The following is a 26,330-nucleotide window of genomic DNA, read 5'->3' as shown; positions in this document are numbered from 1 at the left end:
GAAGCGACCTGCAGACCCTCACAGGGAAGTCTCAATATGCTCTATTTGGAGAAAAGGGGGTGGGAATTTCCAGGTCTCTGGGGACCCCACGTCCCAAGTATAGCAGAGCCAGGGGCCTGCGAAGGGCCGACTTAACTAGAGACAGAGCCAAACTCAGGCGCTGCAGTGTGACCTTCACTGAGGTGATCCGCTGCCGTGTCTGTGCGAATCTGCGCAGGACAGGAGCCAGGCCTGGGAGGAACCCTGATAAGGTGGGCGGGGCCCGGGCGAGGAAGGGCGGGGCGCGAAGGGCAAGGGGCGTGGCACGGAAGTGGATAAGTGGCCCGCGGGGTAGGGATCCCCGGGGCGGGGCGGGGCTGGGCTGGGCAGGGCGGGGCCTACAATTTGCTCCGCCTCGCTCTGCAGCCTGTGTTTTCCAGGTTTTGGAGGCGAGACCCGCCCGGGATGCTGAAGCATAATTCAAAAGCCCTGGAATTGCCTGAAACGGGGATGCAAACTAGAATGTAAAATGCAAATCTCTGCCTGGGTGGAAAGAGCAATTTTATGCTGAAGGCCCACAGAACAGAGTAGAAATCCTCTCCCTATTCCTCATTCACTCGGGAGGGAGAGTCCACCCTGTGCTCAGCTCCGGAGACTTCCCTAGGGCCACCGCCTGGGATGCGGGACAGAGTACGCAGGCCAGGGATGAGTGAGGTTCTTAATGATCTACTAAACAAGGGGTGAATTATTCATGCTTCCCCTCTTCAGACCTTATAGCGTAGCTTTCTGACGTTGCCATGGCATTTTTAAACTGTCATGGAGCTGGTGGGGGTGTAGCAGTGAGGACGACCACAGGTCACTCTCCTAGCCATTTTGATTTTGGTAGGTTTAGGCTGAGGTAGGATAATTGCTTGAACCTGGGAAGCAGAAATTGCAGTGAGCTGAGATAGCATCATTTCACTTCAGCCTGGGCAACAAGAGAAACTCCATCTCAAAAAAAAAAAAAAGAAGAGGCTGGAGGCAGTGGCTCATGCCTGTAATCCCAGCACTTTGGGAGGTCAAGGTAGACGGATCACTTTCTTCAGGTCTGGAGTTGGAGACCAAGCTGACCAACATGGCAAAATCCCATCTCTTCTAGAGATACAGAAATTAGTTGGGCGTGGTGGCACATGCCTGTAATACCAGCTACTCCGGAGGCTGAGGCAGGAGATTCACTTGAACCCGGGAGGTGGAGGTTGCAGTGAGCTGACATTAGGCCACCACACTCCAGCCTGTGATGCAGAGGGGTACCCCATCTCAAAAAAAAAAAAAAAGTAGGATTATTTAAAGGTCCAACAGCTTTAAATTGGAATTACTTGATTTTTTTTTCTTTTTTTTTGAGAAGTAGTTTCACTCTTGTTGCCCAGGCTGGAGTGCAGTGGTGCAACCTCCACTCACTGCAACCTCCTTTGTATCTCAGAGATGGGGTTTTACCACGTTGGTCATGCTGGTCTCGAACTCCTGACCTCAGGTGATCCACCTGCCTCACTGTCCCAAAGTGCGTGAGGCACCGCACCCAGCTTCATTTTGAATTACTTAATTTACTACTGAGATAGATGTACTATCTTTTTTGTTGTTGGCATTTCAAAGACAGAACTCCCAAGTCCTTTAGAAAAACACCCCTGGATCACCACTAAGATGAAAACAAGTTTTATTGTTTCTAAAAAATACCACTTCTGAAGACAGAGAAAATACATTTACAAATTTTCTTTTTTTTTTTTTTTTTTTTTTGAGACAGAGTCTCGCTGTCACCCAGGCTGGAGTGCAGTGGTGCGATCTCGGCTCACTGCAGGTTCCGCCCCCCTGGGTTCACGCCATTCTCCTGCCTCAACCTCCCGAGTAGCTGGGACTACAGGTGCCTGCCACCTCGCCCAGCTAATTTTTTGTATTTTTAGTAGAGACGGGGTTTCACCGTGTTAGCCAGGATGGTCTCGATCTCCTGACCTCGTGATCCGCCCACCTTAGCCTCCCAAAGTGCTGGGATTACAGGCGTGAGCCACCACGCCCGGCCTCATTTACAAATTTTCTAAATAAACGTCCTGAGAAAAGAGACAAAAGGAAGGGAAATCTTTTCCTTTATTCTCAAAGGAGGAATTATGCCTCTCATTTATTTGCTTGTTTGAGACAGGGTCTAGCTCTGTCACCCAGGCTGGAGTGCAGTGGTGAGATCAGGGCTCACTTCAGCCTCAAAATCCCTGCTTCAACTGATCCTCCCACTTCAGTGCCCAGAGTAGCTGGGACCACAGCAGTGCACCACCACACCTGGCTGACTTTTTTTACTTTTAGCAGAGAAGAGGTCCCCTATGTCGCCCAGGCTGGTCTTGAATCCCTAGGCTCACGTCACCCACCTGCCTGGGCCTCTAAAACCGCTGGGATTACAGGCCTGAGCCACTGCGTCTGGTCTCATCGTAAATTTGATGTTTCTTCTTGTTTTAACAGAATTTGTATTGCTGTGATAGAGGTTCTTTTCAAACTGATGTCTTATCCTTCTGAGTGCCTCAAACTAGAGCCTGTTCAGACGTTATAACAAGTTTATACTGGTTTATTTTGGTACAAAAAGTGTGAAATTTATGCACAAATTTTTCATAATATGTATTTTTCCATGAACTTCTTGAAGACCCTTATACTAGCAAACTGTATTCAAGAGGATATAAAAAGGGATTGTAAACATCCAAGTGCTACCTATTCATGGGATGCAAGGATGGTTCAACATACTCAAATCAATGGGATACACACTTGCACAGAATGACAGATAAAAAACACATTATCTCAATAGATAGAGAAAAAGCATTTCACAGAACTCAATATTCATTCTTCGTAAAAATCCTAAACAATATAGGTAGAGTTTTACCTCAAAAATATAAAAATCATCCATGAAATGACCACAGCTGAAATAACCAATGAAGGAAAATGGAATGGTTTTCCTGTAGGATATCACATGATGCAAGAATGCTCTCACCCCTGATATTCAATAAATACTGGCTGTCCTAGGCAGAGCAATTAAATAGCAAAAGAAATAAAACTCATCCAAATCAGAAAGACAGAAGTAAAATTACATTTGTTGGGGCCGGGCTCATGGCTCACACCCATAATCCCAGCAATTTGCAAGTCCGAAGTGGGCGGATAATGAGGTTAGGCGATCTAACATATTCTTTCAAGTTCTCTTCAAGGTACTCACCATGTTGGCCCACCATCTGGGCCAACATGGTGAAACCCCGTCTTTACTAAAATAAAAAAAATAAATAAATTAGCTAGGTGTGGTGACATGCGCCTGTAGTCCCAGCTACTCAGGAGGCTGAGACAGAATTGCTTGGACGTGGGAGACAGAGGTTGCAGTGAGCAAAGATCATTCCACGGCACTCTAGCCTGGCGACAGAGAGAGACATTGTCTCAAAAAAAAAAATTATTTCCTTGTAGATGATACGACATTCTATATAGAAAATCACTGGCTGGGTGCGGTGGCTCACACCTGTAATCCCAGAACTTTGGGATGCTGATGGGGGCGGATCACCTGAAGTCAGGAGTTCAAGAAAAACCTGGTCAACATGGTGAAACCCCGTCTCTACTAAAAATACAAAAAAATTATACGGACATGGTGGCAGGCACCTGTAATCTCAGTTAGTAGGCAGGAGAATCACTTAAACCCGAAAGGCAGAGGCTGCAGTGAGCCAAGATCGTGCCATTGTACTCCAGTCCAAGTGACAAGAGTGAGACTCCTTCTCAAAAAAAAAGAAAAGAGCCTGGGTAACAGAGTGAGACTGTCTCAAAAAAAAAAGAAAGAAAATCACAAAGAATCAACCAAGATTTTACTGATACTAATAAACCCACTCAATGTATTTGCAGAATACAAAATCAGCACCCAAAATTAGTTGAATTTCCTTACATTAACAATAAATAATGTTTAAAGAAACTTATGAACACACTTCAATTTGCTATGAAACTTAATACTTACAAATAAACTGAATTAAGGAGGTGAGAAGCTTGTACCTTGAAATCTACATTGATCAAAAAAACTAAATAGACATACAACCCATATTGATGGATTGGAAGTCTTAATATTGTTGAATGATTATACAAACAAATGTGATTTAGATTCAACAGATACCCATAAAAACCCGTAACAGTTTTTATTAAAGAAACAAAATACAGGGTGGGAAAAGTGACTCATGTCTGTTGGCCAGTCTGGTCTCAAACTCCTGACCTCAAGTGATCTATTGGTCTTGGCCTCCCAAAGTGCTGGGATTACAGGCGTGAGCCACCCCGCCTGGCCCAATCTTCTTAACATAAACACTTTAATGTCAATTAATGCTTGAACTCAATGTTAAGTCAATTCAAACTCAAGTCAATGCTGAATTGACTCTAATGCCAATTAATGCTTGATGGTTTGCTATACTCATTGCATTTGGAACAATCATCTCAAAAATGAATTTTCTGATGTTCCTTAAGGGGTGATCTCAGACTGAAGACCTTGCCACACTGATGACATTTGTAAGATTTCTGTCCAGTATGGATTCTCTGATGTCTAATTAGGTGTGAACGTGAAGTAAAGGCTTTGCTGCAATCATCATACTTGTGAAGTTTGTCTCCTGTATGAAGTCTCCTGTTTTGCATAAGATGAAGCTAGACTGAAGACCTTGCCACAATCATGACATTTGTAAGGTTTCTCTCCAGCATGAGTTCACCGATGAACTGCAAGGTATGAACAATGTCTGAAAAATTTGCCACATTTATTACACTTTCAAAATCTCTCATTATGGATTCTCCAATGATTTGAAACGGTTGTAGTGTTACTGAAGACTTTGTGATAATCATTACATTAGTAAAGTTTCCCTATACCATGGATTGCCTGATGGTGAATAAGTGTTGACTGCCCACTAAAGGCTTTGCCACACTCAGTACACTTGTAAGGTTTCTCTCCAGTGTGACTTCTAGTTTGTTGGGCCAGGTGTGAATCACGCCCAAGATTCTTGTCACAAACTCTTACATTTGTAAGCTTTCTCTCCAGTATGAATTCTCCTGTCTTTCAAGACTTGATTTACAACTGTAAACTTTGTCACATTCTTCATATTTCTAATGTTTCTTTCCAGTATGAATTCTATGATGACGTGCAAGTTTTGCTTTTCGATTAAAAACCTTGCCACATTCATTACACTTGTAAGGTTTCTCTCCAGTATGAATTGTCTTATGAATTACAAGGACTGAATTGTGACGGAAGGTTTTGCCACACTCATTACACTTGTAAGGTTTCTCTCCAGTATGAATTCTATGATGACATGCAAGGTGTGCTTGTTGATTAAAAACCTTACCACATTTATTACACTTGTAAGGTTTCTCTCCAGTATGAAGTCTATGATGACGTGAAAGGTTTGCTTTTCTATTAAAAACCTTGCCACATTCACTACACTTGTAAGGTTTTTCTCCAGTATGAATTGCCTTATGAATTTCAAGGGCTGAATTGTGACGGAAGGTCTTGCCACACTCATTACACTTGTAAGGTTTCTCTCCACTATGAATTGCCTTATGAATTACAAGGGCTGAATTGTGACGGAAGTTCTTGCCACATTCATTACACTTGTAAGGTTTCTCTCCAGTGTGAATTCTAGTATGTTGTGCCAGGTGTGAATCACGCCCAAAAGCTTTGTCACAAACCTTACATTTGTATGGTTTCTCTCCAGTATGAATTCTCCTGTGTTTTTCAAGGCTTGATTTGCGACTGAAAACTTTGTCACATTCTTCACATTTGTAAGGTTTCTCTCCAGTATGAAGTCTAAGATGGCATGTAAGGGATGACTTCTGACTGAAGGCCTTGCCACACTCATTACACTTGTAAGGTTTCTCTCCAGTATGAATTGCCTTGTGAATTATAAGGGCTGAATTTCGACCGAAGGTCTTGCCACACTCATTACACTTGTAAGGTTTCTCTCCAGTATGAAGTCTACGATGGCATGTAAGGTATGACTTCCGACTAAAGGTCTTGCCACATTCATTACACCTGTAAGGTTTCTCTCCAGTATGAATTCTCCTATGTCTTTGAAGGTTTGATTTGAAACTGAAAGCTTCATCACATTCTTCACATTTGTAAGGTTTCTCTCCACTATGAGTTCGCCAATGAACTGCAAGGTATGAACGATGTCTGAAAAATTTGCCACATCTATTACACTTGTACGATCTCTCTTCATTATGGATTCTCCAATGATTTGCAATGGTTGTAGCATTACTAAAGACTTGGTGACAATCATTACATTTGTAAAGTTTCCCTATACCATGGATTGCTTGATGGTAAATAAGTGCTGACTGCCCACGAAAGGCTTTGCCACACTCATTACACTGGTAAGGTTTCTCTCCAGTATGAAGTCTACAATGGCGTGTAAGGGATGACTTCCGACTAAAGGTCTTGCCACATTCATTACACTTGTAAAGTTTCTCTCCAGTATGAATTATCCTATGTCTTTCAAGGTTTGATTTGAAACTGAAAGCTTCATCACATTCTTCACATTTGTAAGGTTTCTCTCCAGTATGAAGTCTACGATGGTATACAAGGGATGATGTCTGACTGAAGGTCTTGCCACAATCATTACACTTGTAAGGTTTCTCTCCAGTATGAATTCTCCTATGTCTTTCAAGGTTCGATTTGAAACTGAAAGCTTCATCACATTCTTCACATTTGTAAGGTTTCTCTCCAGTATGAAGTCTACGATGGTATACAAGGGATGACATCTGACTGAAGGTCTTGCCACAATCATTACACTTATAAGGTTTCTCTCCAGTATGAAGTCTACGATGGCGTGTAAGGGATGACTTCCGACTAAAGGTCCTGCTGCATTCATTACACTTGTAAGGTTTCTCTCCAGTATGAATTTTCCTATGTCTTTCAAGGTTTGATTTGAAACTGAAAGCTTTGTCACATTCTTCACATTTGTAAGGTTTCTCTCCAGTATGAAGTCTACGATGGTACACAAGGTATGACGTTTGACTGAAGGTCTTGCCACATTCATTACACTTGTAAGATTTCTCTCCAGTATGAATTGCCTTATGAATTACAAGGGCTGAATTTCGACTGAAGGTCTTGCCACACTCACTGCACTTGTAATGTTTCTCTCCAGTATGAAGTCTATGATGGCATGTAAGGGTTAACTCCTGACTGAAGGTCTTGCCACAATCATTACACTTGTAAGGTTTCTTGCCAGTGTGACATCTACGATGACATGCAAGATATCGCTTTTGATTAAAGACCTTGCCACACACATCACATTTATATTGTTTCGCTCCTAAATGGATTATCTGATGTTTCCTTAAGACTGAGCTATAATTAAAGGCTTTGCCACTCTCATTACATTGGAAAGATTTTTCTCTCATGTGTACTTCCTGCTTTTGTGTGAGTAATGAAGAATTCAGGAAATTATTCCCATAGTTCTTAGAAATGTGGGTTTTAGGCCTACAAGAAATTCTTTGGGATGTTGAAACCAACGAAGCACTGTTGATAGACTTCTCAACTTGATTACCAATTTTCCCTTCGGTCTGAAACATGTGGAGTTCAGGCAGATGCGAATGAAAGCTTGATCCAAGCTGATCTTTAATAGGCTTGTTTCCAGCATGCCTTTGATCATGTCGGTTTGTACTACCCGTCAACTGTTTGATTTCTGTCATGGGTGCTTCATGGCTATTTCTTTCATCTTCTTTCCACTGAAACTCAAAATCATGAATATCTTTCTCCATTTCCTGGAAGCAAAAATCTCCAATGTGATGACGTTCATGTCTTTGCAATGTCCCTGTGTGGATCACTTCTGTATTGCCTTGTGCTGTTGATGAGAACTCCTTCATCATGCATTTGGAAGAGATATCTAGAAAATATAAACACCAATAGGTTTCCACTTAAGTATAGATGGTAAATAATACTGAAATGTGTAAATGTGACACTAAAAACAATACTTATTTTAAACTTCCCAAACATTATCTTGAAAGTTTAGGAACGCAAAAGGGTAAGATTCATCAATAAATAAAGGGCGATTACATGTACTTGAAATCATTTCTATGGAAGCCTATTTCCAATATCATGTCAAAACACTGACAGCACACAAATGTATATAAGCCTAAAGTAAGGAGTATTTTTCCACTGTGACCCTAAAGTGTATAAGACTTTGCAAAAAACATATCACTGTCACATCAATGAGGAGAAAAGCATATATTCTTCATATTTACAGCATATTTACTATATACAAATAAATGCTAAAAGACCACACAATATACTATATTGGTAAATAATCCACAACAAGCTCATGTAAGGATAACCAAAATCAATGGAAATTCTGTATTGTCAAACAATCATAGCACTGAGAAGATAAGAAAACATTACAAAATTAAGCAAGGCGTGGTGGCCCATGCCTGTAGTCCCAGCTACTCAGGAGGCTGAGGCACAAGAATTGCTTGAGCCCAAGAGGCAGAGGTTGCAGTGAGCTGAGATTGCACCACTGTACTTCAGCCTGGGTGACAAGAGTCCATCTCGAAAAAAAAATTAAAAAGTTAATACAATATTTTTCTGAATAACTGTTATAAAATTACTTATATTCATGCAGAAAAGGCAAGTTGTGACATTTTAAGAAATTGTTTGTATTTTTATATTTTTGAGATGAAGTCTCACTCCATCACAACAGGCTGGAGTGCAATGGCCCAGTCTTGTCTCACTGTAACCTCCGCCTGCTGGGTTCAAGCCATTCTCCTGCCTCAGCCTCCTGAGTAGCTGGGATTAAAGGCATGCATCACCATGCTTGGCCAATTTTTGTGTTTTTAGTAAAGATGGGGTTTCACCATGTTGGACAGGCTGGCCTCGAACTTTAGACTCAAGCAATTTAGGCGCCTGAGCCTCCCAAACTCCTGGGATTATAAGTGTGAGCCATAGTGCCAGGCAGCACTTTGTGACATTAACGAGTGGACTGTGTCAGTTATATTGCATACCACATACCGAAAAGCCTTATGTAAAATCATAAAAATTAATTAGTAAAATAACGTAACCCATAAAATCAGCAAGCAAATAATAAGTACATTTATACAGCCTGCAGAATTCTAAACAATTTCCTATTAAGAAAAAAGCCACAGCCGGGCACAGTGGTTCACGCCTGTAATCCCAACACTTTGGGAGGCTGAGGCGGGCAGATCATGAGGTCAGGAGATCGAGACCATCCTAGCTAACAAGGTGAAACCCCATCTCTACTAAAAATAAAAAAAAAAAATTAGCCGGGTGTGATGGCGGGTGGCAGTAGTCTCAGCTACTCAGGAGGCTGAGGCAGGAGAATGGCATCAACCCAGGAGGTGGAGCTTGCAGTGAGCCGAGATCGCGCCACTCTGTCTCAAAACAAAAACAAAAACAAAAAACAGAAAAAAAGCCACAATTTCTACTTACCAGCAGCATACAATATAAGAACTGAAATACATGTTAAGATCATTACCTTCTGATGTACGAGGTCAAAAAAACACACAGCATTATAAGGAATAAGAAGTGACTAACGGCTGGGCGCTGTGGTTCATGCCTGTAATCCCAGCACTTTGGGAGTCCAAGGCAGGTGGATACAAGGTCAGGAGTTCAAGAGCAGCCTGGCCAATATGGTGAAACCCTAACTCTACTAAAAATGCAAAAAAAATTAGCTGGGCATGGTGGCGGGAGCCTGTAATCCCAACTACTCGGGAGGCTGAGGCAGGAGAATCGTTTGAACCCAGGCGGTGGAGGTTGCAGTGAGACGAGATCGCATCACTGCACTCCAGCCTGGGTGACAGGGTGAGACTCTGTCTCACAAAAAAAAAAAAAAAAAAAAAAAAATTGACTAACAATGTCAGAAGGTGCAACTACGATGTCACAACTACATTTATGAAACAGCCAGGCAATACAGCAATTCCATATATAAGCATTGGCCTTAGTTATCTAGTTCACTATGCACTAATATAAAACATAGAATGTGTACTGGGAAAATTTATAAACTGAGATCAGAGAAAACATTGTATATAACAAATTGCACAATAAAAACATTAACAAGATGATGCAGGCTCCCTGGTCTGAATGTTCTTATTGGCCAAAAGCCAGGTTCAAAGTTCTTATTCTCCAATAGGATGTTCCTGCAGATGGGGCCTTTGAGAGAATTTGGTCATGGGTGTTGACTACTCATGAATAGGACTAGTGCTTTTATAAAAAGAGATATTAAAGAGCTCGTTTCCTGTTCCTCTTTCCACCATGTCAGGACACAGCAGGAAGATGGCTGGGCTAAACCATGAAGAATGCTCTCACCAGGAACCAATGTGGCTGGCACCTTGCTCTTGGATTTCCCACTTTCCAAATTCATGAGAAATAAATATCTGTGCCGTAAGCCTCCCAGTTTAAGCTACTACCTTTTTTGTTTGTTTTTGAGATTGAGTCACGCTCTATCACCCAGGCTGTAGTGTAGTGGCATGATTCTCCTGCCTGAAGAGATTCTCCCACCTCAGCCTGGAGTCTCACTCTGTCACCCGGGATGGAGTGAAGTGGCACAATGTCGGCTCACTGCAACCTCCACCTCCTGGGTTCAAGTGATTCTCCTGCCTCAGCCTCCCGAGTTACTTGGGATAACAGGTGCCCGCCACCATGCCCAGCTAATTTTTGTATTTTTAGTGGAGACGGGATTTCACCGCGTTGGCCAGGGTGGCCTCAAACTCCTTAACTCAGGTGATCCGCCCGTCTCAGCATCCCAAAGAACTGGGATTACAGGCGTGAGTCTGTGGGGTCACTTGGCCAATTTTTTGTATTTAGTAGATTTCATGTTTCACCATGTTGGCCAGACTGGTTTCAAACTCCTGACTTCAAGTGATCCACTCACCTCTGCCTCCCAAACTGCTGGGATTAGAGGTGTGAGCCACCTTGGCTGGCCAGTCTAAGCTATTTCTGAGAGGACAGTGAAATGACTGAGACAGGAACAGGAACATCTCATCATCAACATCACCGAAGGCTGACAAATCTTATTAAACAAAGGAAGTTTAGAGACTGTACTATTGCAATACTTGAAGCCAATCTAATAACAATAACATGTTTTAAAAACTGTGAGGCTGGCTGGGCACGGTGGTTCATGCCTGTAATCTCAGCACTTTGGGAGGCTGAGGCAGGAGGATCACAAGATCAGGAGATCAGCACCATCCTTTCAGCACCTTTCTGGCTAACACGGTGAAACCCCATCTCTACAGAAAAAAAAAAAAAAAAACAGCCAGGTGTGGTGGCATGTGCCTGTAGTCCCAGCTGCTTGGGAGACTGAGGCAGGAGAATCACTTGAACCTGGGAGGCAAAGGTTGGAGTTAGCCAAGACTGCGCCACTGCACTCCAGCCTGGGCAACAGACAGACTCCTTCTCAAGAAAGAAAAAAAAAAAAAAGAAAGAAAGAAATGAAAGAAGTCTAAAGAGTAACTCCAACCCACAAATATACAAAAAGTTCTCCAGTAAAGGTAAATAAAAAGACAGATAAGCTGGGCGCGGTGGTTCACACCTGTAATCCCAGCACTTTAAGAGGCCAAGGCAGGCGGATCACCACCTGAGGGCAGAAGTTCGAGACCAGTCTGACCAACAAGGAGAAACCCTGTCTCTACTAAAAATACAAAATTAGCCAGGCATGGTGGCACAGGCCTGTAATCCCAGCTACTCGGAAAACTGAGGCAGGAGAATCACTTAAACCCAGAAGTCGGAGGTTGCAGTGACCTGAGATTGTGCCATTGCACTCCAGCCTAGGCAACAGAACAAAACTTCGTCAAATAAATAAATAAATAAGCAAATAAAAGGATAGACACAGAAACTTGTATAAGTGTACCTTTTCTTCATAACACAACTTTCCTATTATTTAGAGGAAAACAGCATGAGAAAACACTGTACGTGATATTGAAAATGCAACACACACAGAAATAATTCTAACATAAAGAACAAAGAGTTCTAGTGGAGAAAGAATAGTTTTCACAGGTGATGAAAATATTTTTTTGAGACAGAGTGTCGCTCTGTCTCTCAGACTCTAGTGCAGTGGCATGATCTTGGTTCACTGCAACCTCCGCCTCCCGGGTTCAAGCAACTCTCCTGTGTCAGCCTCCTGAGTAACTGAGATTACAGGCACCCACCATCGTGTCTGGCTAATTTTTGTATTTTTAGTAGAGACAGAATTTCGCCACGCTAGCCAGGCTGGTTTTGAGCTCCTGACCTCAGGTGATTTGCCTGCCTCGGCCTCCCAAAGTGCCGGGATTACAGGCATGAGCCACTGGGGCACGAGAATTTTTTGAGCACGAGAGCGAAGCCGGCTGCGGTGAGCCAAGATCACATACGGCACTGCTGCCTTGGCGACAGAGTGAGACTCCATCATAAACAAAAGTCAATAAGAAGGGAGTCAAAGCATGTCTACACAAAAAAGCAATTAAACGCAAAAAGTAATAAATGAGAAATGAATAACCAAAAAAACCTACAAGAGATACAGATAACATGAAACAGAAACACAACGGTAAGGTCTTCTCCATCAGTAATACTTCAAATGTAAATATTTAACTCTGCACTCAGAAGGCAAAGACTGGCTCAATCAACAGGAACCAACTACATGTTGTCCAAAGAAAACTCATATAAACCCTAAGGACACACATATGCTACAATTTAAAAAATAAAAACCAATAATTAGGTATGGGGGTTGGCACCTGTAATCCCAGCTACTCAGGAGGCCAAGGAGGATCTCTTGAGCCCAGGAGACCAAGACCAGCTTCAACAACACAGGAAGACCTTGTTTGTAAACAAAAACAAAAACAACAACTACAAAAAAAAAAAAAAACTAAAAAAGTAGCCCGGCATAGTGGCATGCACCTGTACCAGCTACTGGGGGAGGCTGAGGTGGGACAATCACATGAGCCCAGGAATTCAAGATTGCAGTAAGACATGATCACACCATTTCACTCCACCCTGGGTGACAGAGCAAGACATTGTATCTAAAAAAAAGAGAAAATACAAAGATACACAAGGGCACATCCCCACTTCTGGAGGGAAGTTATCCTCACCCAGGGAGACCAGGTTCCTATAATTCTCCAGCATCACGTCCCTGTATAGAGTCCTCTGAGCAGGGTCCAGGCACTTCCACTCTTCCTGAGAGAATTCTATGGCCACATCCCTGAATGTCAATAGACCCTGAAATGAAAACACATTTTAAGGAAATGGTTATGGGAGGAGTTCTTATCTTTACACGAAATGAGAAGAGGAGAGAGGAAAGCATGGATTTAATTGTAGTGAATGTTCTGACAAATCCGAGTAAGGGATTCTTCACCACATTTTGTCTTCTGAGTTGTGTTTTATTACACTTCTTTTTTTTTTTCTTTTTGAGACGGAGTCTCGCTCTGTCACCCAGGCCGGAGTGCAGTGGCACGATATCGGCTCACAGCAACCTCTGCCTCCCAGGTTCAAGGAATTCTCTTGCCTCAGCCTCATGAGTAGCTGGAATTACAGGCTGGTGCCACCGCGCCTGGCTAATTTTTGTATTTTTAGTAGAGACGGAGTTTCACCATATTGGTCAGGCTGATCTCGAACTCCTGACCTCGTGATCCACCTGCCTCGGCCTCGCAAAGTGCTGAGATTACAGGCATGAGCCACCACACCGGCCTTCTTATACCTTTTGAAGAGGTCACAATACCCTCTCAGTATGAATTTCTGATGTTTGTGGATAATACTAAAAATACACACAAAAGAAATCAATGCAGGAGCCGGGCACAGTGCCTCATGCTTATAATTTCAGCATTTTGGGAGGCTGAGGCAGGCAGATCACCTGAAGTCGGGAGTTCAAGACTTGCCTGACCAACATGGAGAAATCCCGTTTCTACTAAAAAAGAAAAAATACAAAAATCATCCAGGCGTTGTGGCACATGCCTGTAATCCCAGCTACCTGGGAGGCTGTGGAAGGAGAATTGCTTGAAGCAGGGAGGCGGAGGTTGTGGTGAGCTGAGATTGTGCCATTACACTCCAGCATGGGCAACAAGAGTGAAACTCCATCCCAAAATAAAATAAAATAAAATAAAATAAAATAAAATAAAATAAATAAAATAAAATAAAAATCAATGTAGGGTTCTCGTTACAGAAATGTTAGAAACTTTTTTTTTCTTTTTGAGACAGAGTCTCGCTCTGTCACCCAGGCTGGAATGCAAAGGTGCCATCTCAGTTCACTGCAACCTCCACCTCCCAGGATCAAGTGATTCTCCTGCCTCAGTCTCCTGAGGAGCTGGGATTCCTGGCATGCACCACTATTCTTAGCTAATTTTTGTATTTTTAGTAGAAACGGGGTTTCACCATATTGGCCAGGTTGGTCTCAAAACTCCTGACTTCATGATCTGCCTGCCTCAGCCTCTCAAAGTGCTAGGATTACAGGCGTGATCCACCGTGCCTGGCCCAGAAACTTTTACTGACAATGCAAGTGACATTCAGTATCTAGATGAGACAGGGTATGAGTGATGTCTTCAGAGATGACAACGTCCGCAGTGAAAGATCAGGATCAGAAACTAAAATCCAGCCTGGCACAGTGGCACATGCCTGTTATCCCAGTTACTCAGGAGGCTGACGCAGAATTGCTTGATCCCAGGAGGCAGAGGTTGCAGTGATCCTAAATCTCACCATTGCACTCCAGCCTGGGTAACAGAGACTCCATCTCAAAAAAAAAAAATCAGCCGGGCATGGTGGCAGGCACCTGTGGTTCCAGCTACTTGGGAGCCTGAGGTAGAAGGATGGTTTGAGCCTGAGGGTGGAGGTTGCAGTGAGCTAAGATCGCGCCACTGTGCTCCAGCCTCGGCAGCACAGTGACACCCAGTCTCAAAATAAAAGAAAATACATGAAAACTAGATGACTCAAAGTATGAAAATCCATTTTATATATACATATGTCCACAAAATAATAAAACCTACACAGACTCACAAAAAACTAGATGTTAATACAAAGGATTGTCATTTCCCCCAGATATTCAAAAAATAAAAGATGTTCAAAATATATACGTGTGTGTATATATGTATGTATATGCATGTGTGTGTGTATACTTGTGTAGGTGGGTGTGCATATATAGAAAGGTTTTAAAAATATAAAAAGTGGCAAGTTTTGTTTAACTTAAGAAGAATCACATCTTGGTAGAAGAGGATACATTGGCAGGTGGGGGCAGGGGGGAATCTTGTCAGATCTAAGAAAACAGGGAATGCCCCATCCTAGAAGAAGCAATCACCCTTTCAACCGCCTGACCTGGAGGAATCTTCAGGTATCTGTAGTAACGCAGGTGTGCACAGAGGCAGCCACTATGGCACTCTTTATACAGGGAAAAATTGCAAAGAACACACAGGTCATCCAGTCAATTTCTAATGCAGATGTCAAAGGGCAAGCTAGCCATGTTAACTAACATGACAACATGTAAATTTTCACAACCAGTAGGATCAAATATCAAAGTAAAATATTTACTGGAACACAAAGAAGAAAACAACAGACATTGGGGTCTACTTGAGGGTGGAGGCGGGGAGGAAGGAGAGGACTAGAAGAAAATAACTATTGGGGGCTGGGCGCGGTGGATCACGCTTGCAATCCCAGCACTTTGGGAGGCCAAGGTGGGTGGATAACCTGAGGTCAGGAGTTCAAGACCAGCCTGGCCAACATGGTGAAACCCTGTCTCTAGTAAGAATACAAAAACTAGCCAGGAGTGGTGGCAGGCACCTGTAATGTCACCTACTCGGGACGCTGAGGCAGGAGAATCGCCTGAACCTGGGAGGCAGTGGTTGCAGTGAGCCGAGATCATGCCATTATACTCCAGCGTGGGCAACAAGAGCAAAACTCAGTCTCAAAAAATAAATAAATAAATAAATAACTATTGGATACGGGGATTAATAGCAGAGTGATGAAATAATCTGTACAACAAACCCTGATGACCCTACTTTACCTATGTAACAAACCTGAACATGGCGCCCCAAACCTAAAGTAAAACCATAAATATATATTTTTTAAATTTACCGCAGAATTTTTTCTAAAGTCTCGTAACGATGCAGAAATACAGACGCGCGAGATTTGCTCTGACCCATGGCACAGAACTGACAGTAGCGGCTCCACAATGAGGCTGGAAGGAGGGTGGAGGACGTGACAGGGAAAAGAGATGCTTTATGGCAATGGGTCTAAGCTGCAGCTTTCCTTCGAGTTTTACCAGAAAACAAATAAATATATCATGTGATGTTTACATATAAAAATATATATTTAATAATAATTGGTGGGGCTGGGCACGGCTCATGCCTGTAATCCCAGCACTCTGGGAGGCTGAGGCAGGCAGATCACCTTAGGTCAGAAGTTTGAGACCAGCCTGGCCAACATGGTGATAGCCCGTCACTAATAAAAATGCAACTAAATTATCCGGGTGTGGTGGTGCGTGCCTATAATCCCAGATACTTGGGAGGCTGAGGCAGGAGAATCTCTTGAACCCGGGAGGTGGAGGTTGCCGTGAGCCAAGATCATGCCACTGCACTTCAGCCTGGGCGACAAAGCAAGACTTTGTATATTTAAAATATAATAATATTATAATAATATAAAAATAATAATAGGTGGAATGAGAATATGGCACCATCCTCTAGGATAAAAATGAAGTACTGCTCCCATATTTGAGAAAAATTATAACCATTTTTCCTGAAAACACCTGTTTCACAAGCCTCTCCGCAGTAACCCCACAGTCTCCATGAGCTTTAATGTGCTAAGAATGGTTGAATGAATCTCCTGCTATGATTCAGGTTGATTTCCTATTCTTAAAGAAATGATGGAATAAAACATCTTCTATCATTCATGTCTGTGTATGAACTTTCCATTCTAATTACTAAGATTTTTGGAGTCAGAAACACAGTAACTCACTCAAAAAACTAAAAATGTAGTATAAAATCAGGCAGAAAACGTTTCCCCTTATTGGTCACCTTTTCTAGAATTTACCACCTACTTTGTGCACATGAATACATGACTTCCATTGGCAGCTGCTCTAATCCTGGTTCACAGAGAGCTGACAGTGCATCCAGATGTGGCCCCTGAACAATCCCTGCTGCCCAACAGCACTGACACCATGGGGCCCTCATCCCATCTCCATCCATGTCTCGGTGTGAGCCCTTCCCAGGACCATGCCCAGTGCGGCCTCTTCCCAAGTTGATGTCACTGTGTCACAAGAGATGGAATCTAAGCGAGATGAGAGGGACTGAGGGAAGGCATGGGTGAGTGCGAGCAAACCTGTCAGGCAGGATGCTTCAGACTCAGAGAAGATTCCCAACTCCAAGGCCCAGGATTTCTGAGAGGAAGGAGACAGAACAATCCACCCAACATATCATCTCACCTGAGAAAGAGCCATCCCTGACTCCTTTGCTTTCCTCTTCCTCTTCCGGGTTTCTTCCTCACGTACCAAGAGTCTTTAGAAGTCAATCCTGAATGTTAAAAATATGTTGTTTATTGCTCAGAATCAACACACCCCCTCCGTTAACACAATGAAACATACAAAGGAGACCTCACCCTGAGGAAATATGGTCCCCTCTGCTGCCCACTGTACCAGGGACGATAAACTCCTACAGGCAGTGGAAGGTGAAAAAACAGAAAGAAGCATGCAGAGCAGCCAATATGGACCAGAGGAGGGGGTGAGGGTGTAGCTGGAGTGTGAAATGGGAGGTGGGTCACAGAAGTCCCCACTGAGAAGGTGATATCAGAACAGAGACCTGGGGAAGGAGGGGTGTTTGCACCTGCAGCTGAGGGGCCAGCGAGTTCCAGCAGAGGGACAGCCCACATGAACGCCTTGAGGCAGGAGCAACCTCGGCCCAGGAACAGGAAAGACGCCTGCATGGCTGGAGCAGAGGGAGGGAGGAGGACACGGGAAACAGATGAGGTCAGAGAGGACCTGGGAGGGCAGATCAGGCAGGGATGAGGTCTTCTAACATTTTTCTCCCACACCTCCAAAGAATTTTTAAAATGATGAATTTCTTCACCCATTGTGAGTAAACATGTAATTTTTTCTTTATATTACAAATTAAAACCCTTATAAACAATGTAATTATCCTTTACATTTTAAAAGCATGCTGAGATTTTAGTGATATCCTAGGAAGCACAAGGTCACCCTCATCTGAGAAGGGCAGGAGCATGGGGGAATGCGTTTACGGAAGTTCGGGAAGTCACCTTTGGACACATGAAGGTGGAGATGCCTGTTCATCCTCCCAGCAGAGAGTTAAGGAGTCAACTGGACACAGGACTGTAGCGTTCAGGGGAGAGGTCTGCAGGGGCCATGGGGCCATGGGGGTAAAGTTTAAAGCCACGAGATGAGGCTGGGCACAGTGGCTCACACCTGCAATCCCAGCACGTTGGGAGGCCAAAGCGGACAGATCACTTGACGTCAGAAGTTCGAAACCAGCCTGGCCAACATGGTGAAACCCTGTCTCTACCAAAAATACAAAAATTAGCTGGGCATGGTAGCACACGCCTGTAATCGCCACTGCTCAGGAGGCTGAGGCATGAGAATCGCTTAAACTCCAGAGGCAGAGGTTGCAGTGAGCCAAGATCACGGCACTGCACTCCAGCCTGGGACACAAGAGCAAAACTCTGTCTCAAAATAAATAAACAAATAATTAGCCAGGCATGGTGGCGTGTGCCTGTAGTCCCAGCTACTTGGGAGGCTGACGCACGAGAATCGCTTGAACCCAGAGGTTGGAGGTTGCAGTGAGCCAAGATCGCACCACTGCACTTCAGCCTGGGTGACAGAGTGAGACTCCACCTCAAATAAATAAAAATGAAAAATAACCTGGATAAAGCAGGGAAGGATAGTCTGTTGGTTTAACATTTTGATCCCTGGCACAGACAGCACCTCTATTTGTGTCCCCTGGCATATACTATAGCTTCATAGCTACTGAGTGAGTGAATGAATGAGAATGACTGAGTGATACTAGTATGTCCCCTCTGGGGTCTCACATGTGCCAGGGTCCTGGTTGACCTCAACTCTGCAGAAAGAGGAGAGGCTTCCTGGCTGCCCAGACTCTCAATGAAGAAAAATTCCTGGGGTCTAAGACTTCTGACTTGGCAATGACATTGGCTTAAATATTCCCAGACTCAAATCCTTGGGTCTTAGTTGGGTCTTGGGATGGTGCAAACCGATAGAATTGCAGGCAATGAGTGTCAGAACAGAACAGCGGACACGAAGGTGGAAGACTTGAGGGAGGGGATCAAGGACAGGCAGGGAAACCACTCCCCTCCCTCAGACGCCCACCTGGGGAAGCATCAACTTTGTCATTCTAGAGAAGACAACGGGAAAGGGAGGACTGTGCATAGGGTGGGTGACGGTGTGTGCTGGGTGGAGAGAAAAACCCCTTTTTCTAAATGTCACTCCATTAGATCAGCCCATCTGTTCACAGGAGCATCCTGTGAGGATAAATACAGCTTTTCCTTCCTCCAGTTCCTAAGTCTTCTGGCCATGACCAGGGCTATAACCCTCAAACTCCCTTCCCAGGAACCAGTGGCCCCTCTTTGTGGAAAAAATATTTGTGCTCCACATTTACATTATAGCACATTTATTTATTTATTTAGAGATGGAGTCTTGCTCTGTCACCATGCTGTAGTGCAATGGCGCGATCTCGGCTCACTGCAACCTCTGCCTCCCAGGTTCGAGCCATTCTCCTGCTTCAGTTTCCCGAGTAGCTGGGATTACAGATGTGCACCACCATGCCTGGCTCATTTTTTTTTCTTTCTTTCTTTCTTTTTTTTTTTTAGTAGAGATGGGATTTCACTATGTTGGCCAGGCTGGTCTCGAACTCCTGACTTCATCATCTGCCTGCCTTAGCCTCCCAAAGCTGTAGGACTACAGGCGTGAGCCACCACACACGGCCACACATTTACATTATAGCATCTTGACCTTCGACTCCCCAGCTGCCTTGTGACTGTGTGTGTGGGAGTGTGTGTGTGCGTGTGTGTGTGTGTGTGTGTGTGTGTGCTCACGTGTTGTGACAGGCAAGGAAAAGCCAGTAGAGCGTCATCACCACTGGCCTGGCAGGAGGAGGTGGCCCTCGGGCTGCAGTTCACGGTGCTGTTTGCACTCTTGATTCTTGGAAGAATCTTTCCTAAAGTCACGGAGCCTCCAGCTGCTCCGGAACAGAACTAGTTGTGTAGGAGTGTGTCCTTCATGCCCCTCAGGTCCCTGACCTTCTCCCCACCCTTCCTGAAGGGAATCCAGGACCCTTGACGCTGAGCGCATCACCTACTGGTGGCAAAGCCCCTGCCCATAATGGCCAAACTGGGTCCTGGTGATGTACAGAGCACGGAGACCCGGGAGCTGGAGTGAGGCAGTGACACAGATGACAAAAATGGAGATGCCTCGGCACTGCCTGAGGACACAGGGTCTGGTCTGTAGGGCTTTCTGACCTTAGTGAGGCCTTCTCCTTTTATTTTGACTGAAATAAATAGCCACAGGAAGTTCAGATCAATTAGAATTGAAATTTCCAGAAGAAATGTGGGACCATCCTTGCACTTGCCCCAGGCCCTGAGTCTTCCCTGAAGACGCCTCAGCATCTGAACCACAACCCCAGAGTAGGTGCTGCAGTTGTCCTGTGGCCAAGATGGGAACTGTGCATCCTCCAAAGAAGGGAGACACAAAACACTCAAAATAATCCATGCAGAAAGGCATCTCTGGGCGGGCACTGTGGCTCTTGCCTGTAATCCCAGCACACGGGTAGGCCTAGGCAGACGGATCACCTGAGGTCATGAGTTTGAGATAAGCCTGGCCAACAAGGTGAAACCCTGTCTCTACTAAAAATACAAAAATTGGGGCGGGCGCGGTGGCTCATACCTGTACCCTAGCACTCTGGGAGGCCAAGGCAGGTGGATTACTTAAGGTCTGGAGTTCGAGACCAGCCTGACCAAGATGGTGAAACTCCATCTCTACTAAAAATACAAAAAGTAGCTGGGCTTGGTGCGACTCTGTAATCCCAGCTACTCAGGAGGCTGAGGCAGGAGAATCACTTTAACCCGGGAGGAGGAGGTTGCAGTGAACCATGATTACGCCACTGCACTCCAGCCTGGGAGACAGATTGAAACTCAAAAGTAAAATTAAATTAAATTAAATTAAAATTAAAATACAAAAATTAGCTGGCTGTGGTGGCACACACATTTAATTTCAGCTGCTTGCAAGGGTGAGGCAGAAGAATTGCTTGAACCTAGAAGACAGAGGTTGCAGGGAGAGAAGGTCACCAGACTACACTCACAGCCTGGACGGTAGAGTGAGACTCTGTCTAAAAAAAAGAAAATAAAATAAAAAGAGTGTTTCTGATGTGACTGATGCAGAGATAATAAAATCTGAGTAACGTGATAGAGACTGACGGGCAGAGGGAACTTCAGATGGGGGTGGGAGGGCATGGGAGACATCTCTGAGCCTAGACCTGAAGGAGAAGAAAGGCACAGGGCCGTGATCATTTAGGAACACAGGGTAAGAGCAGGGACAGCAACCTGAGACAGGAAGGGTTTTAGTGTTTGGGAAAAGAGAAAAGCAAATATGACTGGGGCAGAGACAGTCATGCGATGAGGGCAAGCTCCCAGGAGGAGGCTGGACACTGGCAGGGGCCCTGGACACAGGGCTATGGAGCCACAGTGAGGAGTTGGGCTTTCAACATTTGTCCACATGGACCAGAGGTGCCTTGAGGGAAACATGCACTTAATAGCTCACAGCTCAAGATTTTAACAAATGACAACAAAACTGAAAAACAGGCTAACTCGTTAAACTACATTTTGATGTTAAAGGTTTCCAATAAATAATAAAGACTAGAAAGCATGCAGACCTCGATCTGAACTGGACGCAACTAATTTCAAACAGAAACTATTTGGAAATTGTTTTTTAAAAAATCGAACAAATTCAGATGTCAATGGGAAAATAACTGAACAATGTGAGCTGGTTATAGGATGCTGCAAATGCATCTTTCAGAAGTGATTATGTATTAAAAAAGAAATATTTAAAACTAAGATTTATCTCAAAGTAAAACTGCAAAAAAAAAAAAAAAAAAAAGAAAGAAAGAAAGGAAGGAAGAGGAACCAGAAAGAAAAAAAAGAAAATATGTTACACAACGAGAACAAAAGCACTTTTGATGTGCCTTTTGCTTTCATTTTTTGGTGGTGGTGTTTGTTTTTTTGAGATGAAGCCTCGCTCTGCCCCCCAGGCTGCAGTGCAGTGGTACCATTTCGGTTCACTGCAACCTCTACCTCCCAAGTTCATGTGATTCTCATGCCTCAGGCTCCCGAGCAGCTGGAACTACAGATGCATGCCACCATGCCCAGCTTACTTTTTTAGTATTTTTACTAGACACAGGGTTTCACCATGTTGGCCAGAATGATCTCAAACTACTGACCTTAGGTGATTGGCTCCCAAAGTGCTGGGATTACAGGCATGAGCCACCACGCCCAGCTTTGATGTTCCTTTTTTTTTTTTTTTTGAGATGGAGTCTCGCTCTCGCCCAGGATGGAATGCAGTGGCGCAATCTTGGCTCACTGCAACCTCCGCCTCCTGGGTTCAAGTGATTCTCCTGCCTCAGCCTCCTAAGTAGCTGGAATTAGAGGTGCATGCCACCATGCCCAACTAATTTTTGAATTTTTAGGAGCAATGGGATTTCACCATGTTGGTCACGCTGGTCTTGAATTCCTGACCTTGTGATCCTTGTGATCCACCTGCCTCCGCCTCCCAAAGTGCTGGGATTACAGGCATGAGCCACTACGCCCTGATGTCCCTTTTAAAAAGTACTATGGGCCAGGCGTGGTGGCTCATGCCTGTAATCCCAGCATTTGGGGGGCCAAGGCGGGTGGATCATCTGAGGTTGGGAGTTTGAGACCAGCCTGACCAACATGGAGAAACCCCGTCTCTACTAAAAACACAAAATTAGCTGGATGCAGTGGCTCATGCCTGTAATCCCAGCTACTTGGGAGGCTGAGGCAGTAGAATCAGTCTGAACCTGGGAAGCGGAAATTGCAGCGAGCCGAGATTGTGCCATTGCACTCCATCCTGGACAAGAGTGAGATTCCATCTCAAAAAAACAAAAACAAAAACAAAAACAAAAAACAAAAAACGACTATGTAGGCCAGGCACGGTGGCTCCTCTCTGTAATTCCACCTGTAATCCCAGTAATTTGGGAGGCCAAGGCAGGACGATCCTTTGAGGCCAGAATTGAGACCAGCCTGGGAAACAGTGAAACCCCATTTCTACAAAAAAAAAATACAAAACCTAGCCGGACTTGGTGGCTCACGCCTGTGGTCCCAGCTACTCAGGAGGCTGAGGTAAGAGGATCGCTTGAGCCTAGGAGGTCGAGGCTGCAGTTAGAGGAGATCACACCACTGCACCCCAGCCTGGGCGACAGAGCCAGACCCTGTCTCAAACTATAAATTAATTAATTAAATTAAAATTATTACATAATAACAGAAAGTGATTTTTTTCTCCCACTTCACTGCCCCATTTCCTACCTCACCATGGGAAGAGGGAAGAGAGGCTCTCACAATTGAATTAAGTCACTACCCTCTGGCTGAATAGGGATTCCAAGTGGAAGCTGACCTCTAATGCCAAGATTTACAGAATGTATGTGTCTTATAGATAGGAATTTTAAAATTCTCAATATCATCTGTATAATTTAAACAAGTTCTAAGTTATTAGATTATATAAACAGAAGTCAACATATCACAACTAATCATATCCAATGAACTCACCCACTCATCTGAACCCAAAGTCCCCCACCCCTTTTAATCTTTTGAGACAGGCTCTGCTCTGTTGACCAGGCTGGAGTGCAGTGGCATGATCTCTGCTCACTGCAGCCTGGACCTCCTGGGCTCAAGTGATCCTCCTGCCTCAGCCTCCAGAGCAGCTGGGATTACAGGTGTGCACCATCACGCCCAGTTAAATTTTTTTTTTTTTTGACAGAGATGGGGGGGGGGGTCTCACTATTTTGCCCAGGCCGGTCTTGAACTCCTGGACTCAAGCAATCCCTCTGCCCCAGTCTCCTAAAGTGCTAGGATTACAGGCGTGAGCCACTGCGCCCAGCCCCCCTTTCTTCATTACTGTGCTTCCCTCCCTAATTCTGTACATATCTCTCATTCTCCCCTTCTCTCTCTAGCTCTTGTTTTCTTTTTCCCTGGGATCTGCTCCTCCTGCTGTTTTTTGTTTTGTTTTGTTTTTTTCATTTTTGCTCTCTCTTGGCAAATCCCTCACTCATCCTCTACTTTGCCATCTGTTATGGTCTTTCTCATTCTTCTTTTCTCTGTCTCAGGTTTTCTACTGCTCTCTCTCTCAGTCTCCTGATCCCTTTGGCCAACACAATCACAGGAGGGCTTTGGAGTAAGACGCCTGCATCCCGGAGGAGCGCATTTTCCAGGGGCTGGTGCAGGGCAGGCAAGAACACCCGGTGTCATAGGACAGCCCCGGGCACCTCCCCAACGCGGGCTCAGGGTAAGCGGTGACTGCGGTGGGGAGACCTGGGGAGCATAAGGGCCTGGAACGAGGAGGGAGGTGGGGGGCGACGGCGCCTTAAGACAAGACTGGGAGGCGCCAAGGGCGGGAATCCGCCTCGCGGTAAGGACTTTAAAAAGTGCGGGTCGGGAGGAGTCAGAAAAAGGTTTTGAGCAGGGAAACTACGCGATGGGAAGTGTATACATTGCCCTATAGCAGAAAGATTCGGGAAGGGACCATCCTCAGGGCGACTTTAAACCCAAAAGGAAGCGACCCCTGGACTCTGACGAGGACGTCTAAATTTGCTCTAGGTGAAGGAACACGGGTGAGAATTTCCAGGTCTATGGGGACCCCACGTCCCAGGTACAGAAGCGCCGGGGACTTGGGAAGCGCAGACTTAACACAACACAGAGCAAAACTCACCGCTGCGGTGGGACCATCACTCCATGCGATCCGCTTCCGGGTTTGCGCGAATCTGCGCGCGCAGGACAGAAGCCAGGCCTGGGCGGGACCCGCGGGGAGGTAGGCGGGGCCTGAGCGAGGTAGGGGCGGGGCGCGAAGCGGAGAGACCTTCCCCTTTAGAATTGGCAGAAGGCGGGGCCGGGGTGGGACCCGTGCGTCTCTCAACCTCGCTCCCAGCGCCTCTTGTTTTCGAGCTTTGGAGGCGAGACCGGACAGGAAGGCTGAGGCATGATTCAAAAGCCCTGGAATTGTCTGAAACGGGGATGCAAACTAGAATGTGAAATGCAAAGCCCTGCCTGGGTGGAACATACGATTTCATGCTGACGGCCCACAGAACAGAATAGAAATCCTCTCCCTTTCTATTCTCCATTCACTGGGAAAGGAGAGTCCACCCTGTCCTCAGCTTCAGAGATTTCCCTAGGGCCTCCCCCTGGGATGCGGGACGGAGTGCTCAGGCCAGGGAGGAGTGAGGTCACCACCTACTGCTTAAACACAGCAGAGATGCGGGCGCGGGGCGAAAGCCTGAGGTCCCAGCTACTCAGGAAGCAGTGGCAGGAGGATCGCTGAGCCGGGGGGGGGGTCCAAGTTAGCCTGGGCGACAAAGTAACACCTCCTCCGGCAGCGCTCCCTTCCTCGTCTCTCTCTCTCTCCTTTTTTAAAATTTCTTTAAATAAAATTTTTGATTTTGTGAGTTAGGGATCCAACATTATTCATTTTCACGTGGATATCCAGTTAGTTGTCCCAGCACATTTGTGGAAGAGATCTATTACTTTCATTTTTATATTTAGATTTTTCTTTTCTTTTCTTTTCTTTTTTGAGACAGAGTATTTCTCTGTCACCCAGGCTGGAGTGCAGTGGCGAGATCTCGGCTCACTGCAACCTTCACCTCCCGGGTTAAAGTAGTTCTCTTGCCTCAGCCTGCCAACTAGCTGGGATTACAGACGCGCGCCACCAAGCCTGGCTAATAGTTTTGTATTTTTAGTAGAGACTGGGTTTCACAACGTTGGCCAGGCTGGATTCGAACTCCTGACGTCAAGTGATCCACCTGCTTCGGACTCCCAAAGTGTTGGGATTACAGGCGTTAGCCACCGCGTCTGGCCAGGAAAACTCTTAGAAGTTGCGCCTGCATACCACTGGACTCAGCTTGCATGACCACATTCCTTTCAAGGCTCAGAATTATTTAAAGATCCATACATTTACATTGGAATTATTTGATGTTTGAAATATTTAATTTCCTACCGAGATACGGGTACTGTCTCCCTTGTTCTTTGCCTTTCAAAGAGAGACCCCAAGTCCTTCAGAAATACATCCATGGGGGTTATTAAGCTGAAAAAAGGATTACGTGGTTTCTAAAAAATACCACTTCAGGCCAGCGCGGTGGCTCACGCCTGTAATCCCACCACTTTG

General features: G+C 44.9%; 1 protein-coding gene and 1 pseudogene across 5 annotated transcripts, besides 5 other annotated features; both read right to left on the bottom strand.

The window, feature by feature from the left end:
* Positions 1–1,770: 1,770 nt before the first annotated feature.
* Positions 1,771–24,928, bottom strand: ZNF845 (zinc finger protein 845). 5 transcript variants are annotated; one of them, NM_001321522.2, is made up of 5 exons: positions 24,885–24,928; positions 17,752–17,906; positions 17,355–17,442; positions 13,045–13,171; positions 1,771–7,859 (listed from the first exon to the last, which is right to left on the bottom strand). In NM_001321522.2, exons 3-5 carry the CDS (start codon positions 17,367–17,369, stop codon positions 5,089–5,091), a joined length of 2,913 nt encoding a protein of 970 aa, NP_001308451.1. In that variant the 5' UTR covers positions 17,370–17,442; positions 17,752–17,906; positions 24,885–24,928; the 3' UTR covers positions 1,771–5,088. The 5 variants fall into 5 exon arrangements, with proteins under 5 accessions (NP_001308451.1, NP_001308453.1, NP_001308452.1 ...); NM_001321524.2 differs by having other exon boundaries at positions 17,752–17,853; NM_001321523.2 differs by having other exon boundaries at positions 17,752–17,845.
* Positions 4,121–5,084, bottom strand: LOC107987264 (putative zinc finger protein 137; annotated as a pseudogene).
* Positions 24,440–24,529: an enhancer, noted in NCBI's record as "active region_15065". NCBI's record gives its function as "activates an Ori minimal core promoter by ATAC-STARR-seq in GM12878 lymphoblastoid cells {active_cell/tissue: GM12878}" and the evidence as "EXISTENCE:reporter gene assay evidence [ECO:0000049][PMID:35858748]".
* Positions 24,800–24,849: an enhancer, noted in NCBI's record as "active region_15064". NCBI's record gives its function as "activates an Ori minimal core promoter by ATAC-STARR-seq in GM12878 lymphoblastoid cells {active_cell/tissue: GM12878}" and the evidence as "EXISTENCE:reporter gene assay evidence [ECO:0000049][PMID:35858748]".
* Positions 24,920–25,139: a silencer, noted in NCBI's record as "silent region_11006". NCBI's record gives its function as "represses an Ori minimal core promoter by ATAC-STARR-seq in GM12878 lymphoblastoid cells {active_cell/tissue: GM12878}" and the evidence as "EXISTENCE:reporter gene assay evidence [ECO:0000049][PMID:35858748]".
* Positions 24,920–25,812: a biological region, named in NCBI's record as "H3K27ac hESC enhancer GRCh37_chr19:53836118-53836982".
* Positions 24,948–25,812: an enhancer, noted in NCBI's record as "H3K27ac hESC enhancer chr19:53836118-53836982 (GRCh37/hg19 assembly coordinates)". NCBI's record gives its function as "activates a minimal SCP1, AML or CMV promoter by ChIP-STARR-seq in primed H9 embryonic stem cells {active_cell/tissue: H9 hESC(primed)}" and the evidence as "EXISTENCE:reporter gene assay evidence [ECO:0000049][PMID:30033119]".

Source organism: Homo sapiens, chromosome 19, assembly GCF_000001405.40.
Source record: "Homo sapiens chromosome 19, GRCh38.p14 Primary Assembly".
Classification (NCBI taxonomy): Eukaryota; Metazoa; Chordata; class Mammalia; order Primates; family Hominidae; genus Homo; species Homo sapiens.
This window is presented reverse-complemented; position numbering and strand designations above follow the sequence as displayed.